At 34.7% G+C, this 18,096-nt stretch overlaps 1 protein-coding gene across 2 annotated transcripts in view; it reads right to left on the bottom strand.

Annotated features, from left to right (window-relative positions):
• Positions 1-18,096, bottom strand: part of ANXA10 (annexin A10) — a 95,200-nt gene that overhangs the window by 66,589 nt on the left and 10,515 nt on the right. The gene's annotated exons all lie outside the window — the stretch shown is intronic.

Below are 18,096 nucleotides of genomic sequence, written 5' to 3'. Positions count from 1 at the left end.
TTAGAAACCCTCAGTCTCACTACTCAGAATTAAAAATTATAAACATCAAATGAAAACATGATTAGGAGAATAAATATTTTTAAAAGATAGAATTGCTTTTTAAAAACTTTTATATTAAAGTAACAGAAATATATTGAATGAAGTGCCAAAAACTTAAGCAGACGGCCAAATGAATTTTTCCTTATGGGCCAAAGTAGCTGTGTCCTAGATCTGGATATGAAGCAAGAAATATCTTTTACTAAATGCAATTTGGGATAAATACTACTTAGATTAAATGAAAAAAAATTAATGAAGTGATGTTGAAAAAATGTACTGATTTTTAACAAATCCACTTTAAGCACTGTAAGTATTGACATTTTAAAGTGTCACTTTCAGGTTAAGAGAAGAAATAAAAACATTAACATTAAGTCATTATATCTTATAAACAATTTTTCAATTTTAGATGGATTCAAATACAAACATTATGTAAAAGATGAGGATATTGAACCTCCCACATTGCTTCCTAATTTCCCTCTTCTCCCTGTCAACGTTGTTAGGTATTTTATTAACATTGCGATGTCATCAAAATTTATTACATGTACATTCTGTACCATTACCATAATGACCACAATTGTCCAACAATATTCCAATAAATTTATAGAAATATATTAATAAAGTTAAGTCTTATAACCAGTTATTTACCCAGGCTTTTTTGTTCCTGAAGTGTTAATATTTTCTTAAATGAATTTTGCTAACAAGTATTTTTCCCCCAAGATGTGCTTATGAGTGATGTTTTACTTGAGGTGAAAATTTTACACTTGACTAGATTGCAACAGGTGGAAAAACATTGCTTGGAAATTTTATATTTCTTGGAAACCAGCTTTAAATAAAAATTATTTAACAAGTTTTCACATCTGGTACTATTTCTAGGTTCGAGGCTTCCTATTTTGACTTTTTTCCTATGAGTTTCACATTTATGAAATTCATAATATATTTCAATGTTCCAGTAAAACCCCATCTCCATTAAGTCACCAAACTTATAAATAATCTTTCATGAGTTGCTGTAAATAGCTGCCATTTACAGAGTGCCAAGTATTGCAAAACTGTATTTCTCGGTATTGTATTTCATCCTTAAAGCTATCCTATGCTATTATAGCTATATTATTCCCCGTTTTGTAAATGAAAAAAGTGAGACACAGCAAAGGTAAGGAACTTACTGTGGCAATACAGCAACTTAGTGGCAAAGAAGAAGCTTGAATCCAAATTTATCTGGTACTGAGCCAAAAAACTTAAATTCTTTCCCTAATTTCTTGTACCAGTTAATTTGGTATGTATATACTTATTTTCCAGCACTATCTTACCACTGAAATAATTTGTTTGGGGGACACAACCAAATTTCATGCACCCCATAATTAGAAATCATGCTTTGTGTAGTACTTTCTATTTCTCAAAGTTCAAGGCCTAGCACTTTGGCTGGGCTTGTAACTAATCAATTGTTTGCAGCGTATAACAATATTTCAAAATATTTCATATATTAACCAAAGACATACATATTAATATGGTTCTAAACTTTTTGAAACATATACAGCTGAACTGCAAAGCTCAGTCTAAGCTATTAAATGCAGGTACCTATAAACCATGTAGCATAAACATGGTCCCATTGTACGGTGGCTGCTTTGGAAGAACTCAGAACTCAATTGAAAATTAAAAATTCTGTGATTCTATGACAATTGATTGCTTTGCTCCACCTGTATATGAGAAGGTGTGCTAAATGAAAATCAGCCTTATGAGTCAAGGACATCTGCAATCATTTTGGTAATTCCTAGTTTCCTATCACAGCCTATTTCCAATTATGTGGATGTGCAATGTACATTTTTCTGACTCCTCTTAACGAGGTTATCTCTATGAGGTTCCACCTCATTTCCTGAGATAGTTTTATGGGCTGACACTATTAGTTCCTTTTTCACTGTGTCATATCATTTTCAGCCTCATTTCCTCATCACAAATCTAAATAGTAGTAAATGCTTAGAACTAAGAAGAGAACAAGACTTATGAGATAGAATCTTACACATTGTTGAAGAAAAATATATATCAAGGCACACTAAATAAAAATCATGTAGATAATGAGTAAATATAAAAACAAGCATAGATATGAAATATTTTCAGCTAGTTGAGTTTTTGTCATCTTTGATTAAATAATCAAATATTTGTGCATTTGATTAAATGCACAAATATTGTTCTCTGTTAGCCAGATACTTTAGAATTAGTTACAAAATTTATTAATAAAAATGCAGAAAAACATGAATAATAACTTTTGCTTCTTGATATTATTTCTTTCTCCAAGTAAAAAATAGGATATACCATGAAGGTGTCTTTACACATTTCAGCAATGTTTGCAGAATTGTTTTCTTCTTGGTTAAAAAATATATATACACACATATTTTTAAAAAGCAAATCTCTAAAAGTCTGCTTCCCCATCATGAAATGGCTCTGAAGGAGAAATCCTCTAGAGTACAGAGTATATTTTCTAAGGAGAGTACACCCTTTTTGAGCAAAATACCAGCCAGATTCTCAATAGTTTGGGTACCAACTCCCCATTCATTACTAGAACTCATTAGAAAAAAACAGAACACTACTAGTGCCATCATAGAATCCCTACTGCTCCCAGAGAACAATCAGATTACAGTCACTTCTCAGGTTGTTCTAAAGAATTTTTCAGGAGCTGAGAGCACAGCATAAATCAAAGTGAGTGAGACCCTGCAGAGTTACAATAGCTTCCTCCCTGAAATAGAAAATACATGGTTGGGACATGGCTGGGACTGCTGTGACACTGATCATTACACAATATTCACCATACTCATTTCAGCTGAAAGAGGAAATGCTTATGTTTATATTTAATCTTTTGAAAGCTCATTTCTTTGCTGTCCCATGCTAATTAGGCCAAGGGCCCATTTTTTTCCCCCTTGTTTCTTTAGAGTTTTACAATAGTCCTCAATCCTTATACACAGAAGGTCCTCTAGTTACGTCATTTTGATCAACATTGTTTGGTTATAAATTGATGAGGAAAAAAAAAAAAAAGAATCTCCGGCAGTGATACTGTGTGGAGTTTGCATGTTCTCTTTATGTCTGTGTGGGTTTTCTCCAAGTACTCCTGTATTCTCCCACATTCCATTGATGTGCGCATTAGGTTCATCTGCTTGTCCCCATGGTCCCAGTGTGAGGGAGGGAGGGAGTGAGTGAGTGAGTGAGTGAGTGAGTGAGTGAGTATTGTATGAGTGCACCCTGTGGTGGACAGGCATCCTGGCCAAGGTCAGTTGCCACCTTGTGCCTGAGCTGCTGGGATAGGCTCTGAGGCCACCTGTAACCCTGAAGTGGAATAAGTTGGTAAACACTTATCTTGTTTTTACTAATCTTTCTTCAATGTATGTATAGCTCACATTTATTTCAATTTTAATATTGGAAGTCTTTGGTCTATTTAGAACTTCGGTGATGTTTTTGTGATGAGAGATGTAGGAACATAACTCTTACGTATATCAACTAGCCTATGGGTAAAATTGATTTTGTTATACATTGTTTTCCTTAAAGGTGCAGATTCCAAGAACCTATCCATGACATCAGGTGAGGACTTACCGTACAATGGCAGAGCTACACATGGAAGATTCAGTCCCTATTCACAAAGAGTTGGTATATGCAGCTGGTAATGCAAAGAGTGTTATAAGAAACCATGAAGTGATGTGATGTGTTCCTGCCAAAAATTAGACAAATACAGCATATATTTATGTATTTAATCTTAAGGTTGTATTTTTAAAAGGAGTTATTTTGGAGAACACACACTTTTTCCAGTTGTTCAAATATCACTTTGGGGTAAGTATTTCAGAATTGCTTTCAGAGATATTTGAATACCTCTTCTTCTTCTTAGTATTTTTGAGACAGGATTTTTTTCTGTTGCCCAGGCTGGAGTGCAGTGGTGCAATCATGGCTCACTGCATCCTCAACCAACCAGGCTCAAGTGATCTTCCCACCTCAGCCTCCTAAGTAGCTGGGACCACATGTGCCTGGCTGAGTACTTATTATTTTATGATGGATTTGATGTTTACAATTAGCCAAGGCTAAGACTAATGAGATACAGATTAATAAAGCTGTTAATAACACCACATAGTGTGTGTGTGTGTCTGTGTGAAAAATTTGCTGATGATATTAGTGAAACTGGAGGAAATTCATAAAATTAAATGGAGAAATAATTGCTAGTAAATTTCATAGTGTTTCATCACTTAGTGGCTTCAATGAATCAAACTTCACTGTTAGGTCACAAAGAACATGGATTTAAAAAATGAGAGTGGATTTGGCTCAAACACATCCCTACTTCTGGAAAAATATTTGCCTTACTGAGTTCTGGTTGGTAGTCATCCTGTATGAAAAACGACACCAGTTTATAATACTACCTTTATTCCATAATGGGATGTTTTTCTCAGTTATTGAAACAAATTGCATATTAATTGGATTTCTTCTACAATAATAAATAAAATATGAAAAATTAAAATAGTGCCTTTTTGCCTCTCTGATTCAGTAGCTTACTGAAACTTCTAGTTATTTTTTGGGGGGTGGGGGAGATCTCTGGAGATACTCATTCTTTTATTTAGTTATTCTGGCTACAGAGGATGCTATAATAAACACCATACTTCTGTTTTTCTTGAAATAAATGTTCACTGGCCCATTACTGGCTCATGCAAAACAAAATTGGCTCAGAGGAATACTGCACATATAATTTACACAAAGAGGCATAGATTCAGAAGAAGACAAATGGAATATTTTGTCTAAAGTCTCCAAGCTGGTCATATCTGTAGCCTCAGTCTTTGGGTTTTACTCATGCTTGCCAATAGACCGTTTAATAGTGATTTCTTAGATTCAAAAAGTAAGATTTTTTTTTTCTGCACGTGTTTTGTCTATATGGATTGTATCCCACTCAAAATTTGAGACCTAGTTCATGCTCCAACTATATTATGTGAAGTCTTTACAGATTTTACCAAGTATTACTATTATTCACTTTGCATCTCTATTACACATGGCATTCCATTTTTTTTGCATTTGTCTTTATCTCTAAATTTTAAACTTCCGGAGGGCAGGTACCTTCCTTTTCTTGCTTTTCAAAGCATCTAGGGCAGTGCCTTAGACGTAATGCGAGCTCAGAGAATGTTTATAAAGTATAAAAAAATCCATGTACCACAGTGACATCTTTTATTTACCCAGTGGTTTTAAAAATTCATTATTCACATAAGCAGGCTATGCTCTAGGCATCTTCACCTGCGTTTCCTTGGTAATCACCTCAGCAGTCTTGTGAGACTGATAATCTTATTTCACACACGAGAAGACTATGAGGCTGAGTAAGTTGTTTAAAGCCACACAGGTATTGACTCATGAAGCCAACATTCAAATCCAAATTTAACTTCACGGTTAGTGCCCTTTCCATTATAGCTGTAATTTGTGTAAAATAAAATAACATATACTATTAAGACTTTTTTTTCACTTATGTGAACAAAAACGTTTCCATTTTCAAAGGACCCTACAAGTAAAAACAAAATTCTAAAAGGATGAGCTCTTATTTTTACGTCAGTTCAAAAAGAAAGAGGGGAGTGTGTGTGTGTGTGTGTGTGTGTGTGTGTGTGTGTGTGTGCGTGTGTATTGTAGGGAGGGATGGAAAGGCAGTAAGAAAGACACCCAAAAAGAAATTCCCATTGTCTGGGTTGCTGAAATTTATTAAGAACAGAATGTCTAATATTTGATTTCAAGTTATTTGCACAACCCCTGTGTAAACCCATCTGTTGTCATGAACTTTCAATAGAGGTGAGTTGGAATAGATTTTAGTTGGTGGTATTTTGGGGGAGTGAAGGTATCAGGGTTTTCCCCATGATAGGGTTATTCAGCATCAAGATGGAATCAGCCTAAATGCCCACCAGTGATAGACTAGATAAATAAAACAAGGTACAGAGGCTGGGCACAGTGACTCATGTCTGAAATCCCAGCACTCTGGGAATCTGAGGCAGGTAGATTGCTTCAGCCCAGGAGTTCCAGACCAGCCTGAGCAGGCAACATGGCAAAACCGTATCTCCATACAAAATTAGCTGGGCATGGTGGTATATGCTTGTGGTCCCAGCTACTTGGGAGGCTGAGATGGGAGGATTTTTGAGCCCTGGAGGCAGAGGTTGTGGTGAGCTGAGATTGTATCACTGCACTCCAGCCTAGTCTACAAAGTAAGACCCTGTCTCAAAAAAAATAAAAGAAAATAACAAAAAATAGAAAATGTGGTACATACACACCGTGGAATACTATGCAGCCATAAAAATAAATGAGATCGTGTCTTCGGCAGGCACATGGTTGGAGCTTGAGGCCATTATCCTTAGCAAATTAACACAGGAACAGAAAACCAAATATTGCATGTTCTTACTTACAAGTGGAAGCTAAATGATGAGAACACATGGACACATAGAGGGAGAACAGCACACATTGGATCCTTTCAGAGGGTGGATTTTGGGAGGAGGGATATGATCAGGAAAAACAACTATTAGGTACAATAGACTTCCATGACACAAGTTTACCTTTGTAACAAACCCTGCAGTTATGTCATTGTACTTAAAATAAAAGTTTTAAAAATTGCTAAAAAAACAAGAGGGGACACTATACATGTGCTGGCTGCATGTTCCTTAAACTAATTAGTCAAATGACATGAAAACATAGAGTTTCAAATGAGTAAGATAATTGTTAATCTTTATTTCCTGAGGCTGAGTCGGGAGAATTGCTTGAACCTGGGAGGTGGAGGTGGCAGTGAGCCAAGACTGCACCACTGCACTCCAGCCTGGGCAACAGAGCAAGACTCTGTCTAAAAAATAAATAAATAAAATATATGTATAGACACACATCTGGAAGATAGCAGAGCAATGAAAGAAAAAACAAGAATAAATAAAACATAAACAAATGTAGGTAATGAAAGAATCAAGTCCTTAAATGAAAAGAGATTACCTAATGTTGGATAATATTAATGGAAAAAACAAGATTAACATTTGAAACATAATATTTAGACCTATTTAGGTTATTTACAAAAGAAATAACCAAATTGCCCTTAGCATTCTCTTCTGCAAAATTAAATACAAGAAGCCAATTGATCAGCCCTTCCAGAATCCAGAGAGAAAGGTTATAAACTGAAAAGCTTTAAAACCAGCAAAACTATAATTTAAAGGAAAGGCAAAAGGTAAAATGCCACCTACATAACTTTTCCAAGCATAATATTAAAGAGTAATTCCAACCAAATGAAAGCTGAATAAATGTAAAAAAGCAAAGGGAAGAAAAGAAGTAATTCAACACCATGAATAAGTGTTCAAAAATCATAGTCAACACACTGAGTTTTCAATTATATATCAAGAATAGTGCTAAATAATTTATATTACCCTGTACTATGGTTTGAATGTGGTGTCTTTTCCAATATCTATAATAAAACCTAATTATCAAGTTGATGGGATCAGAAGGTGGAGCCTCTGGGAGGTGATGAGGCCATGACAGCTCTGTCCTAATAAATGGGATTATGTACTTTTATACAAGGGCTTGATGAAAGGAGTTCCTCCACCTTCTGTTACTTGAGAACACAGCACTTTTCCTTTAGAGAGGACACAAAGTTCAAGGCACCATTGTGGAAGCAGACTGGACTCTCACCAGACCAAGTGAGATGAAAGCAGAGACTGGGCTCTCACCAGACCAAGTGAGATGAAAGCAGAGACTGGGCTCTCACCAGACCAAGTGAGATGAAAGCAGAGACTGGGCTCTCACCAGACCAAGTGAGATGAAAGCAGAGACTGGGCTCTCACCAGACCAAGTGAGATGAAAGCAGAGACTGGGCTCTCACCAGACCAAGTGAGAGCACCTTGATCTTGGACTTTCCAGCCTCCAGAACCGTGAGAACATAAATTCCTGCTCTTTATAAATTACACAGTTTTAAATATTGTGTTATAGCAGCACACAATGAACTAAGACAGCATATTTAACTCTCAGGCATTAAGCCATCAAATATACAAACAAATGGGATTGGTCCTATTACTAAAGTTGAAGAAACAGATTCAGAGAGACTGATTTCTTTCTTTTTTTTCTTTCTTTTTTTTTTCCGATGGAGTCTCCCTCTGTCACCCAGGCTGGAGTACAGTGGCATGATCTTGGCTCACTGCAACCTTTGCCTCCCAAATTAAAGCGATTCTCCTGCTTCAGACTCCTGACTTGCTGGGACTACAAGCACGTGCCACCACACCTGGCTAATTTTTTTGTATTTTTAGTAGAGACAGGATTTCATCATGCTGGTCAGGCTGGTCTTGAACTCCTGACTTCAAATGATCCGCCCACCCTGGCCTTGCAAAATGCTGGGATTACAGGCATGAGCCACCATGCCGGCAGGGAGATTCATTTCTGTTGCTAGGTCATATGGCTAGTGAAGTATGGAGCCTATATTGAAACCCCAATCTGTCTGATTCCAAAGGCTATGCTCTTGATTGCTAGACTAGTCTTCCATATGAAGGAGAAATACAGATGGGAATATTTTTTAGTCATTAGAAAATTAATATATAATTAATGTATTAAATTTGGTTATGAAAAAACTCTGACATAAAAAGTTAAGAAAAATCATTTATGATCTCATTGTCTACAAATTATCGTTAAATATTTTAATAGCAACCAAAAGAGAAAATAGTCCGCCAAGTGCTCTTCTTGTACTTTTCACATCTTTACATATAGTCATAAGGTGTTTGTTTCTAAATGAAATAATGAAGTCACATTTACATATTTTTTTTTGTAATCTGGCTTTTCTTTTGTTGTTGCCTTCCCCCCAGCCCGCCACCCCAGACAGAGTCTTGCTCTGCTGCAGAGGCTCTGGAGTGCAGTGGTACGATCTCGGCTCACTGCAGCCTCTGCCTCCCAGGTTTAAGGAATTCTCCTGCCTCAGCCTCCTGAGTAGCCGGGACTACAAGTGAATGCCACCACGCCCGGCTAATTTTTGTGTGTTTTTAGTAGAGATGGGGTTTCTCCATGTTGGCCAGGCTGGTGTTGAACTGCTGGCCTCAAGTGATCCGCCTGCCTTGGCCTCCCAGAGTGTGCTAGGAGTACAGATGTGAGCCACTGCCCACAGCCTGGCTTTTCTTTTTCATAATATACCACTAATAGGATATTTCTTGAAGTCTATTGTGCTTATCTTGAAGATAAATGTCAAGGAGCAGATCTGAAAATACTACTCAGCCCTCCTTGTAAATAGTTTAATTAATAATAAGATGTCATTACATGCTTTTTATTGATCAGTACTATATTATTTAAAAAGAACTGAAATAATATTTAAATTCAGTGAACATATCTGTGCCCCAAATAAAATAGTGATAAGTATATTTTGCAAAGCATGACATTCTAGAGATGAAGGAGGCATTATACTATTTGAATAGCTACTGTGCAGTTTAAATAGCACCTCCATATTCTTTATCTTATTTGATATTAACACGAGTGTATCAGGCAAGGTAAGTGTTCCTATTTCTATATTATATATGAAAAAATGACAGTATTTATACAAGGCCAGTGGCTTACTAATTGGCAGCCTGGAATAGGTGCCTTGAATGTTGTGTCCTCTGTAAAGTGTTATGGATTTAAACTACTGCTTTTATAGTGTATCTTCCCTGTCAATTTTATGCTTTTCTACTCTTTTTTTGATTATTATTCTCACATTTTGAAAAATTAAGGCTTATTTTATGTTTTTCATGTCACATAAAGTGGTTAAAAGGCCTAGTACACATAAATTAATCTAGAAAGGATAAAACATATAGTAATTTAAGATTTTTGAAGGGTTAAACATAAAGCAAATTTAACATAGGATCTAAGTGTTTGCTCACCCTCAAGGAATGCATGCACTCCTGAATCTCACACTTAAAACAGAGATTATGCTGACATTTAATGTGTGAAGGACTGAATTCTGTAGATTTATTAGAACAATTTCTACAAAATGGTATTACAAACCTTAGATGAATGGTGATTCTAAAATTTCAGCAACTTTAATCTCATTTGATGTTTTTAGATAGGTTAGTAATCAGCACTCACAAAGCACAGTCATCTATTTCACAAACAGAAACAGATTCCTGGAGATTAAAAGTTCTTTAGCTTTCAGTAGCAGAGACCAGTGATATTATTATCTAGAGAACTGTATGTTCTTGAGATGTTAATGAGAAAAAGAATGGTCCTTTAGATTACCTTTTACTTTCCTCCTTTTTGTACACTGATAGACTATCATTGAAAGTATCACGAAATTCTATTCCCAGCAGATTTTTACCTTTAAAATAATGCATGGCTCTGGTTGGTTTTGTTGTTTTTTTCTTTCTTCCTTTCCTTAATACTTACTTAAGCAAGAGTATGTGATTTTAAAGTAAAGCCAGTTTGCAGCTAGACAAAACCTGGCCTGGGCAATCCATAAATAAGTTGTTTAACTATATACTAAAGAACTTCTAGACTTCTATATGAAAGAATTTCAATGGAAACAAAAGTTTTAGAATTTTGAAATTAACCTTGATAGACAAATAATATATATTACAGAGTTAGAAATAACAGCCAGTTTGTTTAGGGTAATTTTTACCTTAAACTATTTTAAATGAATGCCCTACACAGCATTTCTATTCTAGTCAATGAAATAAGATGTACCAATCTCAAAAAAAAAAAAAAAAGAATTAACACAAATAAAAATGTTGTAGCATCGTTAATATGGGTGGAAGGCATTTCATTACTAGTTTTCTTTATGAACATTAACTATACATCTAGCTATAACTAAACCAGGGGATGAAGGAGACAAAAGGAGCACATTTTATCTTGATTGGTTTTCTATCAGTTGGTTAACAGGTTTCTACTTCTAACATGGAGTTTATTTATTTTTATTTTTTAAAATTATTATTATTTTTTGAGAAGGAGTCTCGCTCTGTCGCCCAGGCTGGAGTGCAGTGGCTAACTATCCCGGCTCACTGCAAGCTCCAACTTCCGGGTTCATGCCATTCTCCTGCCTCAGCCTCTTGAGTAGCTGAGATTACAGGCACCCGCCACCACGTCTGGCTAATTCTTTTGTATTTTTAGTAGAGACGGGGTTTCACCGTCTTCGCCAGGATGGTCTCGATCTCCTGACCTCGTGATCTGCCCGTCTCGGCCTCCCGAAGTGCTGGGATTACTGGCGTGAGCCACCGTGCCCGGCCTAACATGAAGTTTATTGATGCATTATAGTAAGGAGTGTAAACTAAGTGAGATAACTTAGATAGCTTAGCTGACTATAGCTAAAATGCTTTTAAAATATATTTAAAGGTAATTTTTAATTTCTCAGGAGTACCTAGTTTTATAAAGACATTGAATGTATATTTTGTTATGATTTTATATAGGTAAGAAAAAGATGATTCAGCAAATATTGATTATCATGAAATTATATGGTAAGGAGTCTGCAGTTATTTTTTAAAAAGATCTTCAGATTCATCTGTCAGCTCTTTGCCAAACCACTCAATGACAGATTCAGGAAATGGTAAAGTCACTTGCCTAAAGAGGGAATGAAATTTTATCATTTTATTTTAAAAAATAATACTAACTTGGTGATTTATTTTATACTTTGAATTATTGGTAATGTACCTAATATTTTCCTAACATGTACTTAAGTCCAAATCAATTTTCTGATATAAATTGCATTTGGAGTATTTGATATCGATTTTCTTCATTTAAAAAATGTAATAGCTACAAAGATAGAAGGAGTAAGAGAATTTTGATAATTTAAAAAAACTTGAGCACATATGCCTAGGAGACTAAAATCCATTAAAATTCATACTGTGTTTTATATTAAACTGAAAATTTTTGCTGAATAAATATGGTATGTTGAACAGAAATCAGTTATGGGTTGCTCTGCACCAAACATACATTGATCTTCTTTCTGGAAAGTGAGGGTTGGTAGAAATTCTCATCTGATGGGTACATAGCAGAAAAAAAATGTGGGAAACATCAAAGAGTTCATGTAGCACCATAACAAGATTTTAAAATTGGTCCCTTTATAATTCAGTTTTCACTGAGGCTGTAACCTGATGGGAAAATAATAGCTGCCAAGAGCATTCACATTCCAAAGTGAAGAACAGATTCCCTAGACCAGGTTTGCAAAGAAAATTCTAAAAATCAGTGTTGTTATTCATAGCCACTTACCAACCTAGATGAGGTTATAAAGGGGATTTATTTGGGTAGAGGTGATAGTGTTCTCTGAGACCTCCTTGTCCTGCCATGGGGAATGAGGTGAAGGGTGGTGATGTCAGCATAAAGGAGACCACCCAGAGAACTTGAAATGTGTACCATATTTGGGGAACACCTTAGGTGCACATTGAGAAATGTCTAAAGCTCAGATTGCGTGGCTACATAGCTATTTTAAGTGAGAGGGTGGCTTCACAACGGATATCTGAATTCCAATAATTTGTTGCGCTCCCAGAGTTTATTGGGACATAAGATGTGAGACTTTGCCACAGACTACATAAGTGCTACAAAGTAGGAGGAGTTGGCATAAACCATTTTAAAGGGATCTGGCTCCAAATTCTCCTTTAGAAGGAATGACAGGAACTCTAAGAGGGAGCAGATTGATAAGAAGATGGCAAGAGAAGATTGTTTGCCATGAGAAATATCCTAAAAACCTATAATGGTCCCAAAGAAACATCTTTGAAGGCCATAGTGTATCAGTGCTAAATGACTATAATACCAGCTAAATGACACCAAATGTCAGAAGTGTTTCAAAAAGAGCAACTCCATCTTGAGTAGGGGTTGGGTAAAATAAGGCTGAGACCTACTGGCCTGCATTCCCAGACAGTTAGGCATTCTAAGTCACAGGATGAGATAGGAGGTCAGCACAAGATATAGGTCATAAAGACCTTGCTAATACAAGGGGTTGCAGTAAAGAAGCCGGCTAAAACCCACCAAAATTAAGATGGCAATGAGAGTGACCCCTGGTCGTCCTCACTGCTCATTATACTCTAGTTATAATACATTAACATGTTAAAAGACACTCTCACCAGTGCCATCACAGTTTACAAATGCCATGGCAACATCAAGAAGTTACCCTATATGGTCTAAAAAGGGGAATGATTTTTACCTTGACACAAGATTAGACATTTTAAATTTCTATAAATTTTTGTGAGTGCAAGTAACTTATGAATATTTAATTGCCTAAGAGTAACAGAAAAGTAATGGTACTTAAATGGACTGGATGTTCATGTCCCCCAAAATTAATATGTTCAAGCCCTACCCCCCAATATAATGGTATTTGGAGATGAGGCCTTTGGGAAATTAAATGTAGATGAGGTCATGAGAATGGGGATCCTATGATGGGATTAGTATCTTTATGAGAAAAATTTGAGTCTCTGTCCCCTGTGTAAAGACACAGCAAGAAAGTGGCCATCTGCAAGCCAGGAAGAGGGCCCTCCGCAGACACCGAATTTGCTGACACTTTGATCTTGGACTTTCCAGCCTCCAGAACTGTGATAAATAAATTTCTGTTATTTCAGCCACCCAGTCTATGGTATTTTGTTATAGTAGCCTAAACTTACTAATATAGGACCTATGGAAAACTAGTCCTAGTGAGTTTAAATGAACAATTTAAGAATGAAATAAAGGCATATGGTTTTTGCCACCAGTAATTATCCTTAGTTTAATTAATTAAACTATCTGATAAAAACATTTCAGAGTTGTTCAAAAATATATTTTAGGTAAAGGATAAATACAACAATTTCTCATCACTTTATATAATTGGAAAGTGAAATTAGCAATGTCAGAGAGATATTCACTAAAAAATCTCTAAACACTTAAATTGCTCCTATTCTCCACTGAAACTCTTTGTTTCCTTTACTCTGTTGCCCCCTTTTATTGACATTCTTGGTCTAAATCTATTTTATCCTCAAAGAATTATTTAACAGTTTTGTAATCAAGTAAATCCATATTTTTTTCTTTTTTATTGGTCTGCTTATATTACTGCCAATGGAATCCATATAAAAGGAATTCTAATGTGATAATTTTACAGGATACGTTGGTCTTTTGAAGAGGCTCTCAACTAACCTGCAATGTGGGGGATAGTATTCCTAAGAACTCCATGAGGCCCTCCATACTTTTTGCCACTAATTTAAATGCCTCCATCTTTGAGGCATCTCATGGGAAACACATCTAAAAATATCAGGAACTTTTATATGTAATGCATTTTATCCTATATGATTTAACTTTCTTTTTTCTGATTGGGAAGAGAAGGGCATAAAAAGAAGCATACATCTATCAAGTAAGTGACAAACTGGAGCAAAAATCATGTATCATGTAACCAGAAAACATCTGATAATTACTTTCTCTGGACATTGTAAAAAATAAAGCACAGCCAGAAAATGTTACAACCTCCTTTCCATTTCCCTTGTGATAACAGACATAGATATCTCACTAAAGTAAGGCAGTAAAGCAGACTTGATTTTAAATCATCTTTGTTCCTTGCTGTACAAAGTGGTAAATTATTTTAACTCCCCTACTTCACACCTTGTAAAGTAAAAGTTGTAGACGTTTTGCAAGTTTCAGTTACTATGAAGATTAATGAGATATGTATTTCAATTAATAGTAATTATCATTCATTCTATTTCTCTTCTTTAGCACCTGTCTGGAATATCACACAGGTTTTGGTTTTTCTTCCAAGAGTTCCATGGAACACTATATTGTTTTCAAGAATCACACTGATATAAAATTAGAAATGCCTAGCTTAATTGAGTTGTAAAATTAAAACTTTAAGATTTTTACAGGTCCACAATCCACATTTTATCCATTTCCCACACATTATACTATAGAAATTCATAATAAATGTTTTTAAAATATCATTGAGCCAAAATTGTTTATACTTATTGTTGACCTAAAATTGTTTGCATTGAAAAGTACCCAAGTAATAGGAATGGACAAAGATTTCATGACAAAGATACCAACAACAATTGCAACAAAGGCAAAAATTGACAAATGGGATCTAATAAATTACAACAAAAGAAGCTGTCAACATAGTAAACAACCTACAGAATGGGAGAAACTTTTGCAAACTATGCAGCTGACAAAGGTCAAACATCCAGCATTTATAAGCAACTTAAACATATCTACAAAGAAAAAACAAACAACTCCATGTTTGGAGTATGTGTGAAACACTCCAAAAAGTGGGCAAAGGACATGAACAGATACTTTTAAAAAGAAGACATATATGTGGCTAAGAAGCATATGAAAAAAAGCTTATCACTGATTATTAGACAAATGCAAATGAAAACCACAATAAGATATCATCTCACACCAATCAGAATGGCTGTTAATAAAAAGTCAAAAAATAACAAATGCTGTTGAGCTTATAGAGAAAAAGGAATGCTTATATACTGTTGGTGGGAGTGTAAATTAGTTCAACCATTGTGGAAAACAATGTGGTGATTCCTGAAGGAGCTGAAAACAGAACTATTATTTGACCCAGCAATCTCACTACTGGGTATATACCCAAAGGAATATAAACCATTTTACCATAAAGACAAATGCATGTTTATGTTCACTATAGCACTATTCACAATAGCAAAGACATGGAATCAATCTAAATGCTTATCAATGGTAGACTGGATAAAGAAAATGTGGCACATATACAACATGGAATACTACACAGCCATAAAGAAGAATGAAATTGTGTGCTTTGCAGAAACATGGATGGAGCTGGAGGCCATTATGCTTAGCAAACTACCACAGGAAGAGAAAAACAAATATCACATGTTCTCATTTATAAGTGGGAGCTAAATAATGAGAACACATGGACATATAGAAGGGAACAACAGAAACTGGGGCATACTGGAGGGAGGTGGGTGGGAGAATGGAGAGAGTCAGGAAAAATAACTCAGGGGTAATAGGCTTAATACCTGAGTCACAAAGTAATCTGTACAATGAACTCCCATGACACGAGTTTACCTGTATAACAAACCTGCACATGTACTCCTGAACTCAAAATAAAAGTTAAAAAAAAAAGTGCCCAAATCTACAGATCCCAAAAGCTTTCAAGACCACATGGACCTTTGCTGATCAAAACAAGAGAAGAAACAAATTCACTCATCTACATTTATCACACAAGTCTGCCACTTTTAATACTCATATGTTTCAGTGCCTAAAGGTAAATTTATAACATTAAATATAAATATATTAGAACGAAATAAAATTTAAGTTTTCACCACAAGAAATTAGAGAAATAATAGAAATTTACATGCAATGCAAGCAGGAGGTAGGAGGTAATAAAGACAAGAGTAAAATCAATAAAATTAAAAAGAGAAAAATAAATAAAATGAAGTAAAGTTATTATTTGGACAACAATGAAATTGATAGAACTGTAGCCAATTTACAAAGAAAAACTAAGATACAAACTATAAACATAAAAATAGATGACAACATTCCTACCAAAAGGAATGCTATGAATGATTCAATGCCCATATATATTCAATTTAAATTTCTTGACAGACTAAAATTACCCAAACTCATTCAAGAAAAGCAGTTAACTTAAATTGCCTCATATCTATTGAGAAAATTGAATTTGTATTTAGAAACCTTTCAGCAAGAAAATCTCCAGCTTACATGGTTTTACTGGATATTTCTGCCAACCATTTAAGGAAGAAATAATATCAATTCTACCAAATTTTTTTCTAGAAAATAGAAGAGAACACTTTCTGACTCATTTTATGAATCTAGATTATACTAATACCAAAACCAAATCAACATTACAAGAAAAGAAAATTGTAGGATAGTAACCCTTATGAACATAAATGCAAATATGCCCAACATAATACAAGAAAATTCAATGTACTAATATATAAAAAGGAGGATGTAGTACAACTTAGTTGTGTTTATCCCAATAATGCAGGACTGGCACAACATTCAAAAATCAATCTGTTTAATTCACCTTATTAACAATTTAAGAAATAAAACTTATATGGCCATCAAAACATGATGCAGAAAAAACACTTGACAAGTATAGCATCTATTCATGTTAAAAACTAAGCAAATTTAAAAGACAAAGCAACTTCATTAATTTGGTAAAAGACATCTACAAAAACCCTACATCTAAAATTAAAGGTGAAATATTGAATGCTTCACCTCCCTTTCCAGCGCCCCAGTCTGCTCTAGACTAGGAAGAAAGCAAGAATGTTATTTTCCATTACTTCAATACCATACCGAAAAATCTTAGGCAATGCAATAAGAAAATTAAAAGAAATAAGCATTATACATATTGGAATAGAAGAAACAGAATACTTCTGACAGTTATTTAAAAAGATAAATAAATAAAGATATGTACCATTTTCATGGCTAGAAAACTTAATATTGTTAAGATGCCAAGTCTCCTTAAATTGGCCTACATTTTCAACAAAATCCCAGTCGAAATCCTGGCAGAATTTTGTGTCGATGTTGACAATTTTATTCAAAAATATTTGTGGAAATGCAGAATACCTAGAATAGCTGAAACAATTTTGAAAAGAAACTCCAAAATTGTAGGAGTAATGCTAACTGATTTTAAGAATTATTATTATTAAGTCGTAGTACTAATGAAACTCTGCTATTAGGTAACAATATTGAAGTATAGCTCGATTGGACAGAATAAAGAATCTAGACTCACATAAATGCAGACAAGTAACTTTTGACAAAGTAGTGAAAACAATTTGATAGAGAAAAAACAGTTTTCCCAAGAAATGGTACTATAAAAATTGGAGATTCATATAAAAAAATAAGCTTGACCTATACTTCATGCCTTATACAAAAATTGATTCAAAATTTGTCATAGACCTTAATAGAAATGTAAGTCTATAAAACTTCTAGAAGAAAAATATAAGAAAAAATCTACATGACTTGGGTAAGTGAAAGAATTTTTAGAAATGACAACAAAAATATGATCCATAATGAAAAAATAAATTAGACTTTGTCAAAACTGAAAACTTTTGCTTGGTGAAAAGCACTGTTAAAGGACTGAAAAGACAATCCACAGAAAGAAAGGAAAGGTGTGTAAGTTACATTTTCATAAAACGTTTAATCCAGAATATGTAT

This window comes from Homo sapiens, chromosome 4 (genome assembly GCF_000001405.40).
Source record: "Homo sapiens chromosome 4, GRCh38.p14 Primary Assembly".
Taxonomy (NCBI): Eukaryota; Metazoa; Chordata; class Mammalia; order Primates; family Hominidae; genus Homo; species Homo sapiens.
Note: the sequence above shows the minus strand (reverse complement) of the source record. Positions and strands in the feature narration are given on the sequence as shown.